The sequence below is a fragment of the Homo sapiens genome, chromosome 18, assembly GCF_000001405.40.
Source record: "Homo sapiens chromosome 18, GRCh38.p14 Primary Assembly".
NCBI lineage: Eukaryota > Metazoa > Chordata > Mammalia > Primates > Hominidae > Homo > Homo sapiens.
In genome coordinates this window covers 27,658,575-27,676,160 of record NC_000018.10, presented here as the reverse complement: position 1 = coordinate 27,676,160, position 17,586 = coordinate 27,658,575, and the positions used below count along the sequence as shown (strand labels likewise).

General features: G+C 41.1%; 1 annotated feature.

Annotated features, from left to right (window-relative positions):
- Positions 13,808–14,773: an enhancer, noted in NCBI's record as "OCT4-NANOG hESC enhancer chr18:25241352-25242317 (GRCh37/hg19 assembly coordinates)". NCBI's record gives its function as "activates a minimal SCP1, AML or CMV promoter by ChIP-STARR-seq in naive and primed H9 embryonic stem cells {active_cell/tissue: H9 hESC(naive and primed)}" and the evidence as "EXISTENCE:reporter gene assay evidence [ECO:0000049][PMID:30033119]".

The window sequence follows — 17,586 nt, the reverse complement described above, 5'->3', positions numbered from 1 at the left end:
GCTGAGCTGGTTGAGACCACCGGGTCCCACAGGGAGCTGGATTTGACCCAGGCCTTAGCCCAGACCTAATTTTACACTCATTACCATACATACACCCACCAGCCCCATGATAGAGCCAAGCATACCCATACTTGTTATAAAAATGGGTGGCACCTCAATTATAAGAAATCTCCACCTTTTTCCTAGAAAACTTTATGATTACTCCACCTCCTAATTAGAAGAGCCCATAAAATCAGAAACTCAAACTCCCTTGGATGATACTCACTTTCTGGAACACACCCACACTTCTCTCTCAAGTGGGTGCCTTCACTTCGCAAGAAAATCTTCTTGTCTTTTGCCTCATTCCGATTTGTCCCTGAATTCTTTCTTGTGATGGTGTCAAGAACCTGGACACCAGCTTGGGCTAGAGTCTCACTGGCTTCTGAAACCCCCGTGAGCCATCTGGCTATACTGTGATCAATGAATCTCACTGTTGTTAGCTAGCATTTATTAAGCCTTTGTGTTCTTACATTCTTTACTACCTGTCCTTGTCTTGAGTTTTTCTATTGACTTGTATTGATCCTCTACCAATTCCTATAGAGCTGTCACTCTTACTCTTCAATTGCTTATTTATGCAGAGACAATTGTTGCTATTTTCATCTCTACACTCAGATGTTTTCTCCATTACATAATCTTATTCCATATACTACTATTTTAATCTCCCGATTATCCAAGAGGTCAAATAAATTGAGAACATGATAGATAGACGTATATATACATTTCTTAATAATCCAAAGGGTAAATTAACTATTGCAACTCTAGCCTTTTGTACTTATATTAATGCATTGAATAAAAAATACAGTTAAATATGATGTCAGTTTATTTTAAACAATCTATACATATATCAGTGGTAATTGTCTGACGAGATTTCTTATGGCATTTTTAGAAAAAGTATGAGTCTGTGGTGGTTCTACGGGTAAGCAGAGAGGCATTTTATTGTGTTATTTACAGACCACAAAAAATCTTATCTTTCCCTAAACATCTCCCCTACAACCCTACCATAGTGCCAGATGTCCCTACCACTACAGTCACCTGCTTTGTCAAAGCACTGTTCAGAACATCTATATTTTATGCAGACTTATTCCTTAGGGAATAGGGCACGTTTATCTGTAACCAAACTGAACATGTTTCAGAATTTAATTGACAGGTTATTTAACTACCTCCTGAGTGAGGGTAGAGTTTAGAAATTAGGGAAAGGTAAAGAAGATGGGTATGTTTTGAAGTGGAAGAAGAGAGACAAGACAAGAAAATATTTAAATTATGAAATACAGGGTAATAAAAGTTGGTCATGATAACTGTATTCAGGCTGTAGGAAGGTTGTTTGGATTTTGTATAAAGAACAAGATCATAAGATAGGACTGGGAAATGAGTGCCATATGACCATGTAGTTCTGGGGTATGAAGGAATGGAGGAGTCAGAGGGATCAACGGGACAGGGCTAGGGGAAGAGCTTCAAGGCACAAGGAAAGACTTGGAATGCAAGATTAACATAAATAATCGGAGGAAGAAGAGGCTTAGTAAACCACAGAAACAGAGACCACAAAGTGAGCAGGGCTTTGTAGAATTTCATGCCATTCCTGGGCAGCAAGCTTCAGTGGCTGATTTCTTGAGACTTGCCCGCATCAGGCAGGGGACTGCTTGAGCAGTTACAATTAAGCTCCAATTGGCAGAGAGTGACAGAGATTGTCAAGGCCACACATACTACTGAGAGGTGACAGCGTGTGGCAGCCCTCGCCCGCTCTGGGTGCCTCCTCGGCCTCGGCACCCATGCTGGCCGTGCTTGAAGAGCCCTTCAGCCCACCACTGCACTGTGGGAGCCCCTTTCTGGGCTGGCCAAGGCCGCAGCAGGCTCCCTCAGCTTGTGGGGAGTTGTGGAGGAAGAGGCACTGGTGGGAGCCGGGGCTGCGCCCGGCGCTTGCCAGCCAGCTGGAGTTCCGGGTGGGCGAGGCTTGGCGGGCCCCGCATTCCGAGCGGCCGGGTGGGCCCTGCTGGCCCCGGGCAGTGAAGGGCTTAGCACCTGGGCCAGCAGCTGCGGAGGGTGCGCGGGGTCCCCCAGCAGCTGGCCCACCAGCGCTGTGCTCGATTTCTCCCCAGGCCTCAGCTGCCTCCCCGCAGGGCAGGGCTCGGGACCTGCAGCCCGCCATGCCTGAGTCTCCCCAACTGTCTCCCCCACGAGCACCGCCCCCTGCTCCAGGGCGCCCGGTCCCATCCACTGCCCAAGGGCTGAGGAGTGCGGGGTGCAATGCGCGGAACTGGCAGGCAGCTCCACCTGCAGCCCTGGTGCGAGATCCACTGGGTGAAGCCAGCTGGGCTCCTGAGTCTAGTGGGGACTTGGAGAATCTTTTATGTCTAGCTAAGGGATTGTTAATGCACCAATCGGCACTCTGTGTATCTAGCTCAAGGTTTGTAAATACACCAATCAGCACTCTGCGTCTAGCTCAGGGTTTGTAAATACACCAATCCACACTCTGTAACTACCTAATCTAGTGGGGACATGGAGAACTTTTGTGTCTAACTCAGGGATTGTAAACGCACCAATCAGCACCCTGTCAAAACAGACCAATCAGCTCTCTGTAAAACAGACCAATCAGCTCTCTGTAAAATGGACCAATCAGCAGGATGTGGGTGGGGCCAGATAAGAGACTAAAAGCAGGCTGCCCAAGCCAGCAGTGGCAACCTGGGTCCCGGTTCCACACTGTGGAAGCTTTGTTCTTTCGCGCTTTACAGTAAATCTTGCTACTGCTCACTCTTTGGGTACACACTGCCTTTATGAGGTGTAACACTCACCGCGAAGGTCTGCAGCGTCACTCCTGAAGCCAGCGAGACTATGAACCTACCGGGAGGATGCGCCACCTTAAAAGCTTTAACACTCACAGCGAAGGTTTGCAGCTTCACTCCTGAAGCCAGCGAGACCACGAACCCACCTGGAGGAACGAACAACTCCAGACGTGCCGCCTTAAGAGCTGTAACACTCACCGCGAAGGTCTGCAGCTTCACTCCTGAGCCAGTGAGACCACGAACCCACCAGAAGGCCGAACACATCCGAACATCAGAAGGAACAAACTCCGGACACGCCGCCTTTAAGAACTGTAACACTCACCGCGAGGGTCTGCGGCTTCATTCTTGAAGTCAGTGAGACCAAGAACCCACCAATTCCGGACACACTACTGTAGTTACCCTTCCAGTGTCTGGATGCCTATCAGACTGTGCCCTGGAAGCATCATTTCTGCACCCAAATTATCTAAATATTTTCGTTGTTTGTCCATAACTTTGGCATCTAAGCTATTACCTTATGGATTCACTTTTTTCTTTCTCAAATGAGGTACCTCCTTAAGATCCGTACAGGAACTACCAGGAAAACTGGAGAATCTCCCAGTCAGTGATTCTTAGCAAACACAGGCCAAAGTGGCATTGTAATACCCAAACTCCCAGCTGTCCTTCCTGCTGATGGAAACTTTTGTGGCAGAGTGCAAATAGCTCAGCAAGTGATTTTAGGGCGAATGTGAAATTTCTGCTGCACTGCCAAAGGGGGATTTCTCCGGAGCTTTTCTCCATGTCAGTCTCCACAAACATCAAGTGGTGCCCAGTGGCAGCGGAATGACATTTACTGAATCTTCCCCTGTTTTTGCTTATGCTTAGACAAGGTTTTGGTGTCAGCATGTAGATTGTATGGGGATAAAGAGGCGGTTATCTGACCCATCACCTTATCCTGGGTCCACACAAGAGCAGGAGCAATTTCAGTTTGCCAGGTGGAGGCTCTGAAACCTGTGGTGATGTAAAGCCCTTAGCTAAGGGAGAAATTGCAGTGAGCTTATCCTGTTTCCCAGCTAGCTGAACTGAATGAACTCTACATTTAGTGTGCTTTTGGTGATAGACTATGCAGTGTCAAAGAATAAAATCCAATCTTTAGTCAGATGGAAAGAAGACAAAGCCACATTTGCCCCCTTCAAATTGGCTAGAAAGGGGATTGTTCTCCAAGTAACCTTATAAGCTTCGTGTAAAACATGGTAGAGCCACCATTTCGAAGAAAACTGGGTTCCTGTGCATCATGATCTGGAAAAGAGGTGCCTGCTAGTTACGAACACTCAGTTTGGACTTCAAACAAGCAAGAAATAAGTGTCTGCTGGGGTTGGCCTTTTATATATTTTGGAGTTTTCTGCAGCAGCTTGACTGACACAACCTTAACTAATACTGAGCTAATACTAACAATCCTTGAAAACTTCCACGTGGGAAGTCACTCATGTTTTTCTGGCAGTTTGGGCTTTATTGGAACCAACTGTGAGCCGTCTAGAATATCACACATCTACACCCTGACAGGGCAAACGAAGAATTTGACCAAAAAAGAAGACACTGAATAGCATGTCAATGAAATATTATTCTTCCCTATCTCTATACAAACTGACTGGAGACCTTAACGACAGTCCATCTTAGACTATTAATTCTCTAGATGACAGTGGCCTGAACATTTGGGGGCTATCTATCTACATAATGGCAGTTAGCTTTTTCATGACCTTGCATTTCTCAGGGGAATCTGCCTTATTTGTTAACATGGAGCTTCATAAGCACAAAGCAAAGAAAAATGCTTTTGGTGTAGTTTTGCCTATACTTGTTCTTAACACACTATAGGCCAGGCGCAGTGGCTCACCGCTGTAATCCCAGCACTTTGGAAGGCTGAGGCAGGCAGATTGCCTGAGGTCAGGAGTTTGAGATCAGGCTGGCCAACATGGTGAAACCCTGTCTCTACTAAAAATACTAAAATTAGCCGGGCGTGGTGGTGGGCACCTGTAATCCCAGCTACTTGGGAGGCTGAAGCAGGAGAATCACTTGAACCCGGGGGGCAGAGGTTGCAGTGAACCGAGACTGCACCACTGCACTCCAGCCTGGGTAACAAGAGCAAAACTCCTTCTCAAAAAAAATAAAATAAAATAAACATACTATAGAGGGAAGCTCCTTCTGGTGCCCAACTGCTCCAGTTTTTGCCAACTTGCAATTTCAGCCACTCGGGTGATACATTTAGGAAGGACCAAGATTTCCTGGGTATCTGTGTGATAGCAGGCAGGTGGCTAAATTTGAAGACTTGACAGAGACAAATGGAAGAGTAATTTCTATAAAGGTCATATATTTTGGTGCTTTTCTAAAGCAAGCAACTAGTCACAGAGACAATGTTTTAAATGATGACTGAAGCTAATGAGAGGAAAAGGAGAAAAAAGTGACTACCTCAAGAACTTAAAATAAGTGCAAACTTTAAGAACAGAGCAAAAGGACTTTCCATGAAGGTTCTTGTTTGGTTTTAGCCATGAACAGACTCCCAGATAAGCACAACACAAATCTCTCAAGGCTTTTGGGTCCAGGAAGTATATTTCCTTGAGACCCAAAAGTCTCAAGATTTTTGAGGAAGTAAATTTCCAAGGGGAAGACATGGCTGTTGAGTCACACTCCTTAACTTTTACCAAGGGGGCTTCTCTCATCCTCATAGTCAAATGGATCCTAAATATTTAGAACTATCCCCCTCTTCAGTGCTTTCTCTGTAGTCTGGCTTCAAATAGCTTGGCTTCCAAAAGTGCCACTAAGGCATGCCGGTTTACACACACACACACACACACACACACAGAGATATCTATAGCTGTGTGTGTGTATATATATGTGTGTATGTATATATACACATATATATTATATAATTTGTACATATTACATATACATATATATAATACAATACCATATATAATATATATTTCCCCAAACATATTATTATATATGGCTAATACTAAATACCAACTCAGAACACATACAAAATAACAATGGAAATGTAAAGAAACACATATATAGATGTCTCACACCCTCAAAGAAACAGTTCTGCAGGCTTGAATGCCTTGTGCTATTCCATGTTTTTTCCTATGATAACCGCCTGAAGGCTGCTTCACTCTGGAAAGCAGCCTCACTTTCTGAGCCACTCTGGCCTCTACATGTTGCTTGTCTATTGCTTTCACGGGCAAGGTCAAGAGAAAGGTACAATTTAATACTGCCTGCGTAATTCCCTTTTCTTGTAGAATCTTTTTCAATTATTCTGTTTTAATTGTGAGACTGTTTATTAATTTCCAGGAGTTACAATGTTTTGAGTCATTTTAAAATAATAGATTTCCAAACTTTTCTTTGATCAGATGGAAAAAAATATCTGTTATGAAAAATTGGTTAAAGTTTCCGTTATACACAAGTATCTAATTATTTCTTATAATTGTTTTATTGATACATAAAAACATATATTCTCTATTTAATGTATGTTATAGTTCTATATTTAATTTGTTTAATTGAGCCTATCAATTGAATTATTTTATTTCTTTATGTTAATGACTTATTGTTTTCTTTTTTCTACTGAATTTTAAAATTTATAAACCATATTTGTTAAGATCCAGAGGTACCTTATATGCTTTCACTGAATCTCTTTAGGTTCTCTTATTATTTGTGGGGTCATGTTCTAGTGTATCACCTGTAGCTATGTATTCTTTACTTGGACTTTGGTTCCAGATGCCTCCGTTCTCAGGTAATGGCCCCACGGTAGGCTGCAGGAAGTGTGGGCCTGCAAGTTGTCACCACTTTATAGGTACTGAAGGAAGGCTCATTGCCTCCAGGTCTCCTTTGCTGCGAAGGCCACCTGCTCCCACCATGAGGGGTTAGGGAAATGTAGTCTTGCATAGCTCCCTGGGTTGAGAGAGACAAGCACCTCCTCCCCGAATTTCCTCTAGGTTGGTGTTGCTTTCTCATCAGGGACCATGGATCTCCTCTAGCTAAGCTCCTTCCAGCAAACTAGTCATTTTGATCCACCTCCATCCCTGAGCTTCCTTTTGGGCCTGACCAAGAATGTTCTGCTGCAGTCTTTTCACCTAGACTCTGGAGGGCCTTAGGTCCCACTCACAGGTCCCCCTTCAAAAGACATAGAAGTCACACTGACAGTGGGAGGGGAGGGCAAGTGGGTCACATTTAATCCTATCTTCTTCAGCTCCGCTTTCTGTCTTGTCAACACAGTCTTTCCTCACACAATTGGCTGCACAGGCTCTAAACCATTCAACAACCTTAGCATCTGCTACAGAGGAATTATGCCCAGTGGTTTACAGAAGGGTGATTCCGGATGAAGCACAAAGCCTTTCACTCTTGCTTTCTCCAGCCTCCTACCCTTTCGTCATTCAGAGTATGAGCTGCAGACAGCTTTTTAAATTATACAGACAGATTTTTCATTTTAAAGAAACTAACTGGAAAAAGAAAATTTGTGGTAATGATTATGGTTTTCTAGGGCCTTCTGAATATATAGAGTTTATCAACAGTAAGCTTAAATTTCTCTTTCCTCTGCCCTAACAAAGAAAACAATAATTCTCTAAGCAGGTAAACCTGTTCTCTCTCTCTCTCTTTCTCTCTCTGTATCTTTATCTATATCATGTATATCTTTATCTATATATGATTGAACACTACAGAACCTCTCTGCTTATGTCATGCAGGGATGAAAAGTTCTGCTCCTGATCATAATATTACTTGAGAATGTCATTTGATGATACCAGAAGTTCATAAAACATTAAGATAATGATTCCTAATATTACTTGTCAGTAAAATATGGAAATCATTTCTTGTTACCCATTTGTACTAATTTTATCTTACACATATTTAGTCAGCAGCAAAGCCTTCCAGGGGTGATTGTTTCCCTCTGATTAATTCCCAGTTCTAACAGTTAGATCACCAGATGATACATAGTAATATTTTCTTAACAGTGCATTTTTACAGAAATAAAGATTTATATTGCAGCTGACTCACTTAAGAGGTCTCAAAATGTAAGGGAAAATGGTTACACATTTTGCCATTGGCCTGCGGATTCTTAATGAGATACTCAGAGACTCCCAGCACCAGGGTTACTTGTGAATAGAGGGAAGCCTATTTCAGTGTCCCTTGTAACTCATTTACCTCCTTTGGCCTCTTTTTTTCTATCTTGCCCCTCTTCCCCTTTACCACTCACTCTGGGCTCAGAATTGACCTAAGTCTCCAGATACCCCCACAGGAGCTTCTGAAGAGCTGCCCAGCTCTTAGGTTGCAGATGCTCCGTAACTCTTCCTCCTGAGTACCCAGCTCAATTTAGAGTACTAGAGCACCTCTTCTTAATTTACTCACACTTCTTCTACCAGATATTGTAAAATAATTTGAGCTGATACATGGTAGCTTACACAGGGTCTTGCTGCTCTCAACAGTGTTTGCATTTTGAATAGGTTCAGCAAAGCAAATCCTAGAATTACTGCAAGCGCTAATGGCTGGAATGGATGTATTTTTGTGTGAGGATGGAGTCAGTAGAGGGAAGGAGAGAAAATGAATTTGTAGGGTCTTCTCCAAATCTTTCAATCTCTATATTTATCTGCTTCTTTATAAGTTTGGACTTGTCCCTGGATGTGTGTGTGTGTGTGATAGAGAGAGTCCCATTCTGTCACCGAGGCTGGAGTGCAGTGACACGATCTCAGCTCACTGCAACATCTACCTCCTGGGTTCAAGTGATGCTCCTGCCTCAGCCTCCCGAGTAGCTGCGATTACAGGTGCCCGCCACAATGCCCAGCTAATTTTTAAATATAATTTAGTAGAGATGGGGTTTCACCATTTTAGCCAGCCTGGTCTCGAACTCCTGACCTCAAGTGATCTACCCACCTCGGCCTCCCAAAGTGCTGGAATTACAGGTGTGAGCCACTGTGCCTGGCTCATCATCTTTTCTTAATGCTGTGGGTTTATTGCTTTGGAAATAATCACTGTAATATTTGCACCATAATGATTTTCAACTGTGCACAGTTCTTATGCATCGTTATCTCATTTTATTTGCTGTGTCAGCAGTAGCAGTAGCAAATCATGGGACTTTACCCCTGTCCTGACAGTCGAACGCTTTTTGAGATGAGAGTCCACGAATAAGAACCTCAACCCTATTCAGTCACTCACAAAGATAAAGAAACGTTATTTTTATCTTGGTACAGAAAAAAAAAAAAAAAAAACTGGTGCACTGCAGGGACCTTCACCCAGTCTATAGAAACTACCACTTCTTACTCCAGCCTGACTTCTGCATAGCCACACAGCCATGCAAATAAGGCATTTCCCAGGAGAAAAAATGCAATTTTAAAAATAGAAGAGATAATAGAAGACAATGGAAAAGAATCATGTGTCACTCCTTTCCCTTATTCTCTTTTTCTGTAACACTCAGTATAAATGCTGAAAAAAAAGAACCCAAACTTCTACAAGGAAGAATTCACAATTCTCAGGCATAAATCTCTAGTCAGGCAGATACTCTATCTCATTCTAAGCAAGAGTGGCACCTTTGGGAGATAAGAATTGTACAGGATTATGCAAAAAATTGGAGGCCAACAGGGGAGCATTTAAATATATTAGGTAATCCTAAACAGATGTCTTTAGGATCAAGATCAGGCTCTGTTTCTTAAGCAGAGAAGGGGTCTGAGGCTGGTCCTCCTTTGATGGATCCCAAGTAGCAATCCATGCTGCTCTGACACTGATCACATACATAAAATGTAAGAGATGCCATTCCCAAAAGGCAGAGTTATGTGGTTACAGACAATCTCTCTGTAAGTAGATAATGAAATATCTAGCATGATTTTCCCAAAGTCTTGTGAGGGGAAAAGACTAGTATTTACTTACCTTAATGCTTGAGTGGAGTAAATATACTTAATACATAATTATAACACTAAATTGTCAATTAAACATGACAAATATTTCTCAGTTGGAATTGTGCTGGAACACAGGGTAATCCCAACTGTCACTGAGCAACCATATTAAACTTGACATCCAACGATGGTTTTCCAGCTAAGGCCTCTGACATGTTACAGTGAAATTCCAAGGGGCTTTATCAGTTAATTGGAAGACAAATACTGACAATTCCTTCATGCAAAATACTTACAATTTAACCTATAATAACACTGAAGCCAAAAAAATAGTTTGCTGAAATTGAAGCTGTAGACTGATGTGATTATGTCTCATTCTTGTTGAATAATAAGGAAAAAAATGTCCCGTAGAGGAAAGTGGAATAACTGGGGTTTCTCCCAGAGGCTTCCAGGCGAAGCTCATTGACCATCCCCCACAGATGGTTTAACCATGGCAGGAAAATGATATTTTGAAGTAAATGACTAGTTTGCATATTAGCTTTACCCTTAGTTTTCAGGGAATGGTTTGCATTGAAACATTGATGGGATTGGAGGAAATGAAAGGTAAACACAAAAATTGATGAACATTGCTTGGCTATTCTTGATATTCATGAAATGATCTTCTCTATTAGGAGAGGATGCTGAAAGAATTAATTACCTGGGCATATCTTTGAGTCTCTTGGAGCTATATAAACAAAAGGAAGTAGTAATAATTGAAGAGAGCAGAAAGAAATGAATTCCAGGGCTGAAGTCAACAAACCAAATAAACATGTCAGCTGGAGCCCAAATCCAGACATGCAATAATGAGAACAGCAGCAATTTTCCTCTGCAGTCCTGGTTCACACAGTGTAAACCCAATAAGCACGAAGAGGCAGAACTTCAAGACCCAGAGCTAAAGTGCAAACAGCAGCAGCTTTGCAAGTTGGGGAGTTTGCAAGTTGAAATATCTGGCCAGCAGCTCTTCAAAACTACCACCAATCTGAGGAATGTGTCGCAGCTGGGCTGAGCTATTCGGAATAGCTCTTGGTATTTTAGAATCCCTAAGGAGATTGAAGTCTCCCGCAGGCACTGCAGTCATTATTATTCCTGGTGGGAATATAGGAGTCATATTATACAGATATTTACATTATATTTGTAAAATCAAATAAACGAAAAACAGGCCCTGAGAAAATAAATAAGTTTTCCTAGGTGAGGCACTGAGAAAGTAGAATAGAGTTAATACCTAAATGTGAAAATGGTGTTTGTTGGTCCTGGCAAAGTGAGAAAACATGGTGAAGCTTACTAATGTGTACTTAAGGCTAACTACTAGCAACATTAAAAATAAAACCACCTGCGGGGCACAATAGCTCATGCCTGTAATCCCAGCACTTTGGGAGGCCGAGGCGGGCAGATTGAGGTCAGGAGTTCGAGACTAGCCTGGCCAAAATGGTGAAACCCTGTCTCTACCAAAAATACAAAAATTAGCTGGGTGTGGTGGTGGCAGGCGCCTGTAATCCCAGCTATTCAGGAGGCTGAGGCTGGCGAATCGCTTGAACTAGGGAGGCAGAGGTTGTAGTGAGCCGAGATGGTGCCACTGCACTCCAGCCTGGGTGACACAGTGAGACTCTGTCTCAAAAAAAAAATAAAATAAAAAAAATAAAACTACCCAGGCAAAACAACAAAGGCCCATCAAAAGGTGACTGAGGGTATTGGCCATTCTTTACTTTAAAAATAATTATTATATTACAAACATTAATATATGAAAGTGTCATTGTTGTAAAATATTGGGTAACAAAAGTGAATACATTCTAAAGTGACTGAATTTTAAACACTGATTACTGACTACAACTTTTTTCTTTTTCCACATGACCTGATAGGAGGACTATTCATCCCTACCCTACCCTGCCCCTAACTTCAGACAAGAGTGATGTTTTCCTTCTCTGAATTCTCAGGAACTTACACTATTTTAATGGAGTTTTTTTTTTAATGTTGCCTTATATTATGCACTTAGTTTTGCCTCTTCTATTTCCTGTGGAACAGTAGATTTCTTAAAGGTAATGTCAGGCTCATGTTCCTTTTTGAATCCCCAAAGAATGAGTCAAATGGCTTGCCCATAGTTAGCACTCAATAAGTGGTTGTTGAGAAAATGAATGAATGAAAAATGAAAATATTTCACCAAAATTGATATAGTGAAATATCAATGAAATGACCACCAAGTTACAGTGAAATCACAATAAAATTACAAAGAAAATGTGGCACCAACTGACATGCCCTTTCATTTTCTCATAATGGAACATAGAATAGATTGTAAATAAATATGCACCCATCTTACCATGAGTCTTAATTTTTTTTGTATTTTAAAAACAAGATCTAATTACACATATAGACCATCCTAGGTTCCGTGTATCATACGAAGACTCATCATAGCAAGGCCTACACTTGCCAGAAAAATTATAGCATATCCAGCTGTAATTGAATTTCAGATAAACAATATATAATGTTTTATAGAAATAACTCTTTAGTATATGAATGTCCTAAATATTTCATGGACCATATTTATATTAAAAATTATTTACATTGAATATTAGATATTATTTGTCTGAAATTCAAATTTACTTATGCTAAACAATTATATTTGATCTGAAATTCACATTCAACTCTGCATCCTGCATTTTTATTTGTTAGATCTAGCAATGATATGGTTTGGCTGTGTCCCCACCCAAATCTCATCTTGAATTATAGCTCCCATAATTCCCACGTGTTGTGGGAGGGACCCAGTGGGAGATAATTGACTCATAGGGGCAGTTTCCCCCATACTGTTCTCGTGGTAGTGAATAAGTCTCATGAGATCTGATGGTTTTATAAGAGGTTTCGCCTTTCACCTGGCTCTTGTTCTCTCTTCCCTGTTGCTACGTAAGACGTGCCTTTCGCCTTCCACCACGATTGTGAGGCCTCCCCAGCCGTGTGGAACTGTGAGTCCAGTAAACCTTTTTTTCTTTATAAATTACCCAGTCTCAGGTATGTCTTTATCAGCAGCATGAAGAAGGACTAATACAAGCAATCTTAGTAGTAATCAAAAAATCAAACGAGAACCAAATAGAACACCCGTGCCACAGATAGAGCACTGTGAAACTCCTCGCTTGCTTACATCTGACCAAAGGTCTGCATTTGTTGTGTGCTATTCCTGAAGACAACAACACAAGCCTTACACTTTTTCCAGAGCTGCGCTGATGTGGTGCACTGAAAGCTCTGCAATAAGCATTATCTGCCTTGCTGCGCTTTTCTTTCTAAAGATCCTTATAAGGAGTTATTTTAAATAGGACTGGTGAGGAGGAACCAGATGTTTCAATTGAATAAAATGTTAATTTCTGACCAAAGTCCTAGATTTCACAATCTGACAGCAATAAGGCAGACCTTTTCTTAGTAGGAGTTTCAGAAGGGACAGGGTTAGGAGACAATCTCTGTAGGATGGAGAGGAGGAAAACACAAATCTGGAGAAGGCGTTGGAGGGAAGATCAGGAAGGCTCTATAGGGCCTGGGTGCCAGTCATTGTTCTACTTAGTTGTTACATGACTTTAGGAAGTCACTGATGCTCTTGTAGCTTCAATTTTGTCACTTGTAAAGTAACAAAACTAACTGTTTCTATCCTTCAGGATAGTTATGAGGATATTCAATGAGTTTGCTCTTTATTGGCATATGGTAAGTATTCAGTCAATGGTGTGCATGATGATTTCTATTTGTGTTGATGCAACAGCTTGAGCAAACACTTCTGGGATGTTCAACTTCCCTTTCTGGAGGTTAAGATAACTTATGTTTACCTTCATTTCCCTTAATTTCAGTGGTTCAGTGCCTTCTACTCTACTGTTTTTTGGCCATTACAGCACCCAGTTCTTTGTTTGCAGCCTGACTCTAATCAGGAAAGCACCAAACAATAGTGAAAGGGTCCCAATCAGTAGAGAGGAATTTTAGGGGTAGGGGAGGAAATAAGGGCAAAACCAAAGCAGAGATTACAAATTCAAACTAAAACATGGATGCTTGAGATTTTAGAGAAAAGATCATTTGATTTCTGGAAGTCATATGCATTAAAAACTAACCACTTGTACAACAAAGCTGAGTGTTCTCTTCCTCCTCTCACTTGTCACAAATATGACCTACCTAAAAAAGCTTGAAAGACTAATGCAAGTAGCTTCTCTTCTAGAACAATGGATAGCAAATTTCTGCATTTGAGTAAACTACGGGTACTACAGAACACTATACAAAGAAACTTTAAGCTTTCTTTCACATTTTGGCCAATACATCCTTAAGGAAACATTGCAAGTAGAGAAGTTTCATTTCTTCTTTCTTTTATTCTTACATTCTTTCTTTCTTTCTTTTTTTTTTTTTGTTCATAATAGGTTCACCTTCTACCCTCTAATCACTACCTTTTCAGATAATCAAAGGGCTCCCTTGGCCTTCTCTGATGTAGGATTCATTTGAACAAGACACTAAGGATTCTTTGTTTTGCTAGATTCCTATGTCCATTAGGGTTCAATGGAGCCTTTGCCAGCAGACAATAGACTTGATCTGTGGCCTTTCTGCTTGGCTAACTGCTCCTAGAATGCTAACACTGAAAGGCACTAGAGGAGATTCATATTACCAAAAGCGAATTAGCAACAAAAGATCCAACGAAAGGGTTGCACAAACCAGGGTGATTTTCTGCCATGGATCTATTGATCGTTCTCCTTTCTGTAATCTTTCTACAGAAAAAGCAATTGGCTTTGCCTAACCACCGTACTGCCTACTGATAGTATTGTGAACCAAAAGATGCTCTGAATGTTGTCTCTCTTAAGAATGATTATCTTAAAGTCTGCTTTCTCCTTACTGACTCTAATGAGTTCTCTAATAGCATTGCTTTCATTACGCTCCTTTTGTTCTGCCACAGAGAAATGAATTTAAACAACAGCTGTTCAAGAGCTGTGGCATTTATCGATTGGATAAACACAAGTCTGAGATTTGGTTGCGTTCCTCTGAAGCCTGCCAGTTCTCTTTTTTGCTTATCGGTTAGCCTGTTTTGACTCCCACCTGCTGGAGGGTAATCTTGCAGTTCTGATCTTAGAGGGGGTTTCCCTTTTCTTTGGGTCTTTATTTCTGAAGGCTCCTGTACCACATAAAAGTTTCTTCCTTTAGGAATGAAAGGGGCTGTAGAAACTTGCCTAGCATATTCCTGAATCTCCTTGTTATACATTTCCAAAAGTGTCTGCAGATGCTTATAGGGTCCATTTATGGATGAGTAACAACATACATGAAATTAGAATTATTCTACTTTTCTAGAGAATGTGGACAGTTCCATGCAAATAATGAACCAAATTCATTAAAAGCTGGTGAATTTTGTGGTTACACATCACAAGAACCATAATATTTTTAGATCAAACGTAACAAATATTGGCATTTAACGAGATTTGCAAGTAAGTTTGTGTCTGTTTCAAAGGAATTACTCGCTTTGGAAACATGAGATTGTGCTTTTTCACCACCTAGAGATAAAAGCACCTGCTGGAATTGCACCATAAAAGTAATTCTCAGCACTCATTGCAGGTTAGGATTATCTGATATTTTAGAAAATTACAAATCACCAGGCTTTGAGCCCCATCTCTTGAAATTCTGATTTAGTTAGTCTTAGGTAGGGCCTGGATGCTGATACATGTTTAAAGGTCATTAGGTAATCTTATCATGGAGCCAGGGGTAAGAACCACTAGAGCTTTGGCTATACATTAGAATCACCAATAGAACCTTCTAAACATACCAGCATCTTGGTTCCACCCAAACCAAGTGAAACTAATGGGGTTCAGGACATGCTACCCCTAAATATGGAACGTTGGTATTTGAGAAAGCAGTAGAAGCAGGAAGGTCTTTTTGTCCTCTCTCCCTTCTACCCTGAAGAGGCTATAGAAGAATTATCTGACTTTCCTCTGAAGAAGGTCACAAGACTGTGATGGGAGTGGGGTCCACTCTATACCTGAAGGAAAGAATTGTCCTTAGCTTTGAAGACACAGGGAGGAACACAGAAAAGAATCTGAACAATCAGGCCTTGCTAAATTCTCCCGGTTTATTACCACTACATCAAACTTCCTTTATCCAAACCTCTTTCTCCACAACTATCTACTTCTTTGTGAAACTTAGAATAAAAATACACCGGTTTCCCTTTCCTTTGAGTCTTTATTTCTGAAGGCTCCTGCACCACATAAAATTTGTATTAAATGAATTTCATATTTTCTTGTTAGTCTGTCTTTTGTTACAGGGGCCTCAGCCATGAGCCTAGCAATGGGCGAAAAAAAAAAAAAAGGTATTTCTTTTCCCCTACAAAACCAAATCACTGAGGCATGAGCCTGGTCAACTGATTTTTTTTTAAAGTTCTCAAGTGTTTTGATGTACAGTGAGAATGGAAGTCCACTCTTGTAGGAATATAATGCACAGATAGATTTTGATTCAATGTTAGAAGGAATGTTTTTACAACTGAGAACTTACCCAAAATATAATGGTTTGATTGATGATTTTATGAGCTTCTTAGCAGTGTACTTGACATTGATGAAACTGGACAAACACTGACTAGCGGTTTTTGCATTGCATAAGGATATAGTTCAAAATATTTTTCAAATTTAGGACGTCAGGGCCACTACTAGTGTATGCAAGCCTTCAGGCAAATTTTTTTGGTAGGACTTTGTCTATATAAACTTTTATTTTTGAAGTATATTATAAAATGCATGACTATGTAAATTCACTGGGTATAGAGATTTATTGATGATGATAAAAAACAATGGGTAGGAAAGAAGTATTTATATATCTGTTTATTATCCATCTAGTGCAGGTGAAGTTTTCAGGGACCATTTCTTCATACACTTTATTGTCAAGTACATCGCCTCTTGGCTAATATCACATCTCCTACCATGAGCAAAGGGTGGTAATGCTGCTATTTCTCAAAATGCCATGGTTCTTTAGGACTTGTCTGTATTGAAGCGGCACAGATCTTGTGTTCATAGTTGTTTCATAGTTCCCTGATACAATTTACTTAATGTCGGTCACATTATTACTCATGATGCAGCATCATCCCTTATGCCACCTGGGAATTTTGGCTTCCTGTGTATGACTCTGATAAATAAAAGTTCCTACTGTGTTTCATTCAAGATGAACACAAAGGCAAGTCTTACCTCATGTATGCAGAAAAAAATGAACAATAGTTTTTCTGATCATGTAAAATTTACCATTCAGAATATTATAGTGTAATCATAGGACACACATGTTTTAGCATCTTCTAACTACTCTTGTACTCCGTAATCACTGCATTCCTGAATGTGAACTGCCATCCATATACCACCAGTAGGGTCCACAAGTCAGAGACCATGGGCAGAGTGAGAAGAGTAATCCCACGGAGTTAGAAATGCTCCTTCCTCCTCTAGCACATCTTTGAAAGTCTGTATAGAAACAACCATTGTGTGTCAGAAACAAGATAAAATTATGGATTAAAAAAGTCCTTAGAAGCCCTGGGAGAAGACAACTGCAGCCACCCCTAAGACTGCCTGACATGTGACATGGAGCCTGTATAGCAGTTGGGGGACCCGGGTGCCAGCCGCAGCAGCACACTGGGTAAAGGATGCCTATGGTCACATTGCCACACCCAGGTGCTGTAGACTGGAGGCAACATGGAGATCAGAATATGGATAGGCCAGAATCACACACGGGTCTACACACACGGCTCAAGTTTGGCTGGGAATTCATAGCCCAGGGTCTTGACTTGGCCTGAATCTGACATGATTGTGGTTTCCCCCAAATCAGCATGGAAGCACTGTTTTTGTGGTCCATTCTCACGCAATCTTGTGAAAGAAATCACAGGCCAGAGACCCAGAGCGATATGCTTGGCAACCTGCCTTTCTGGA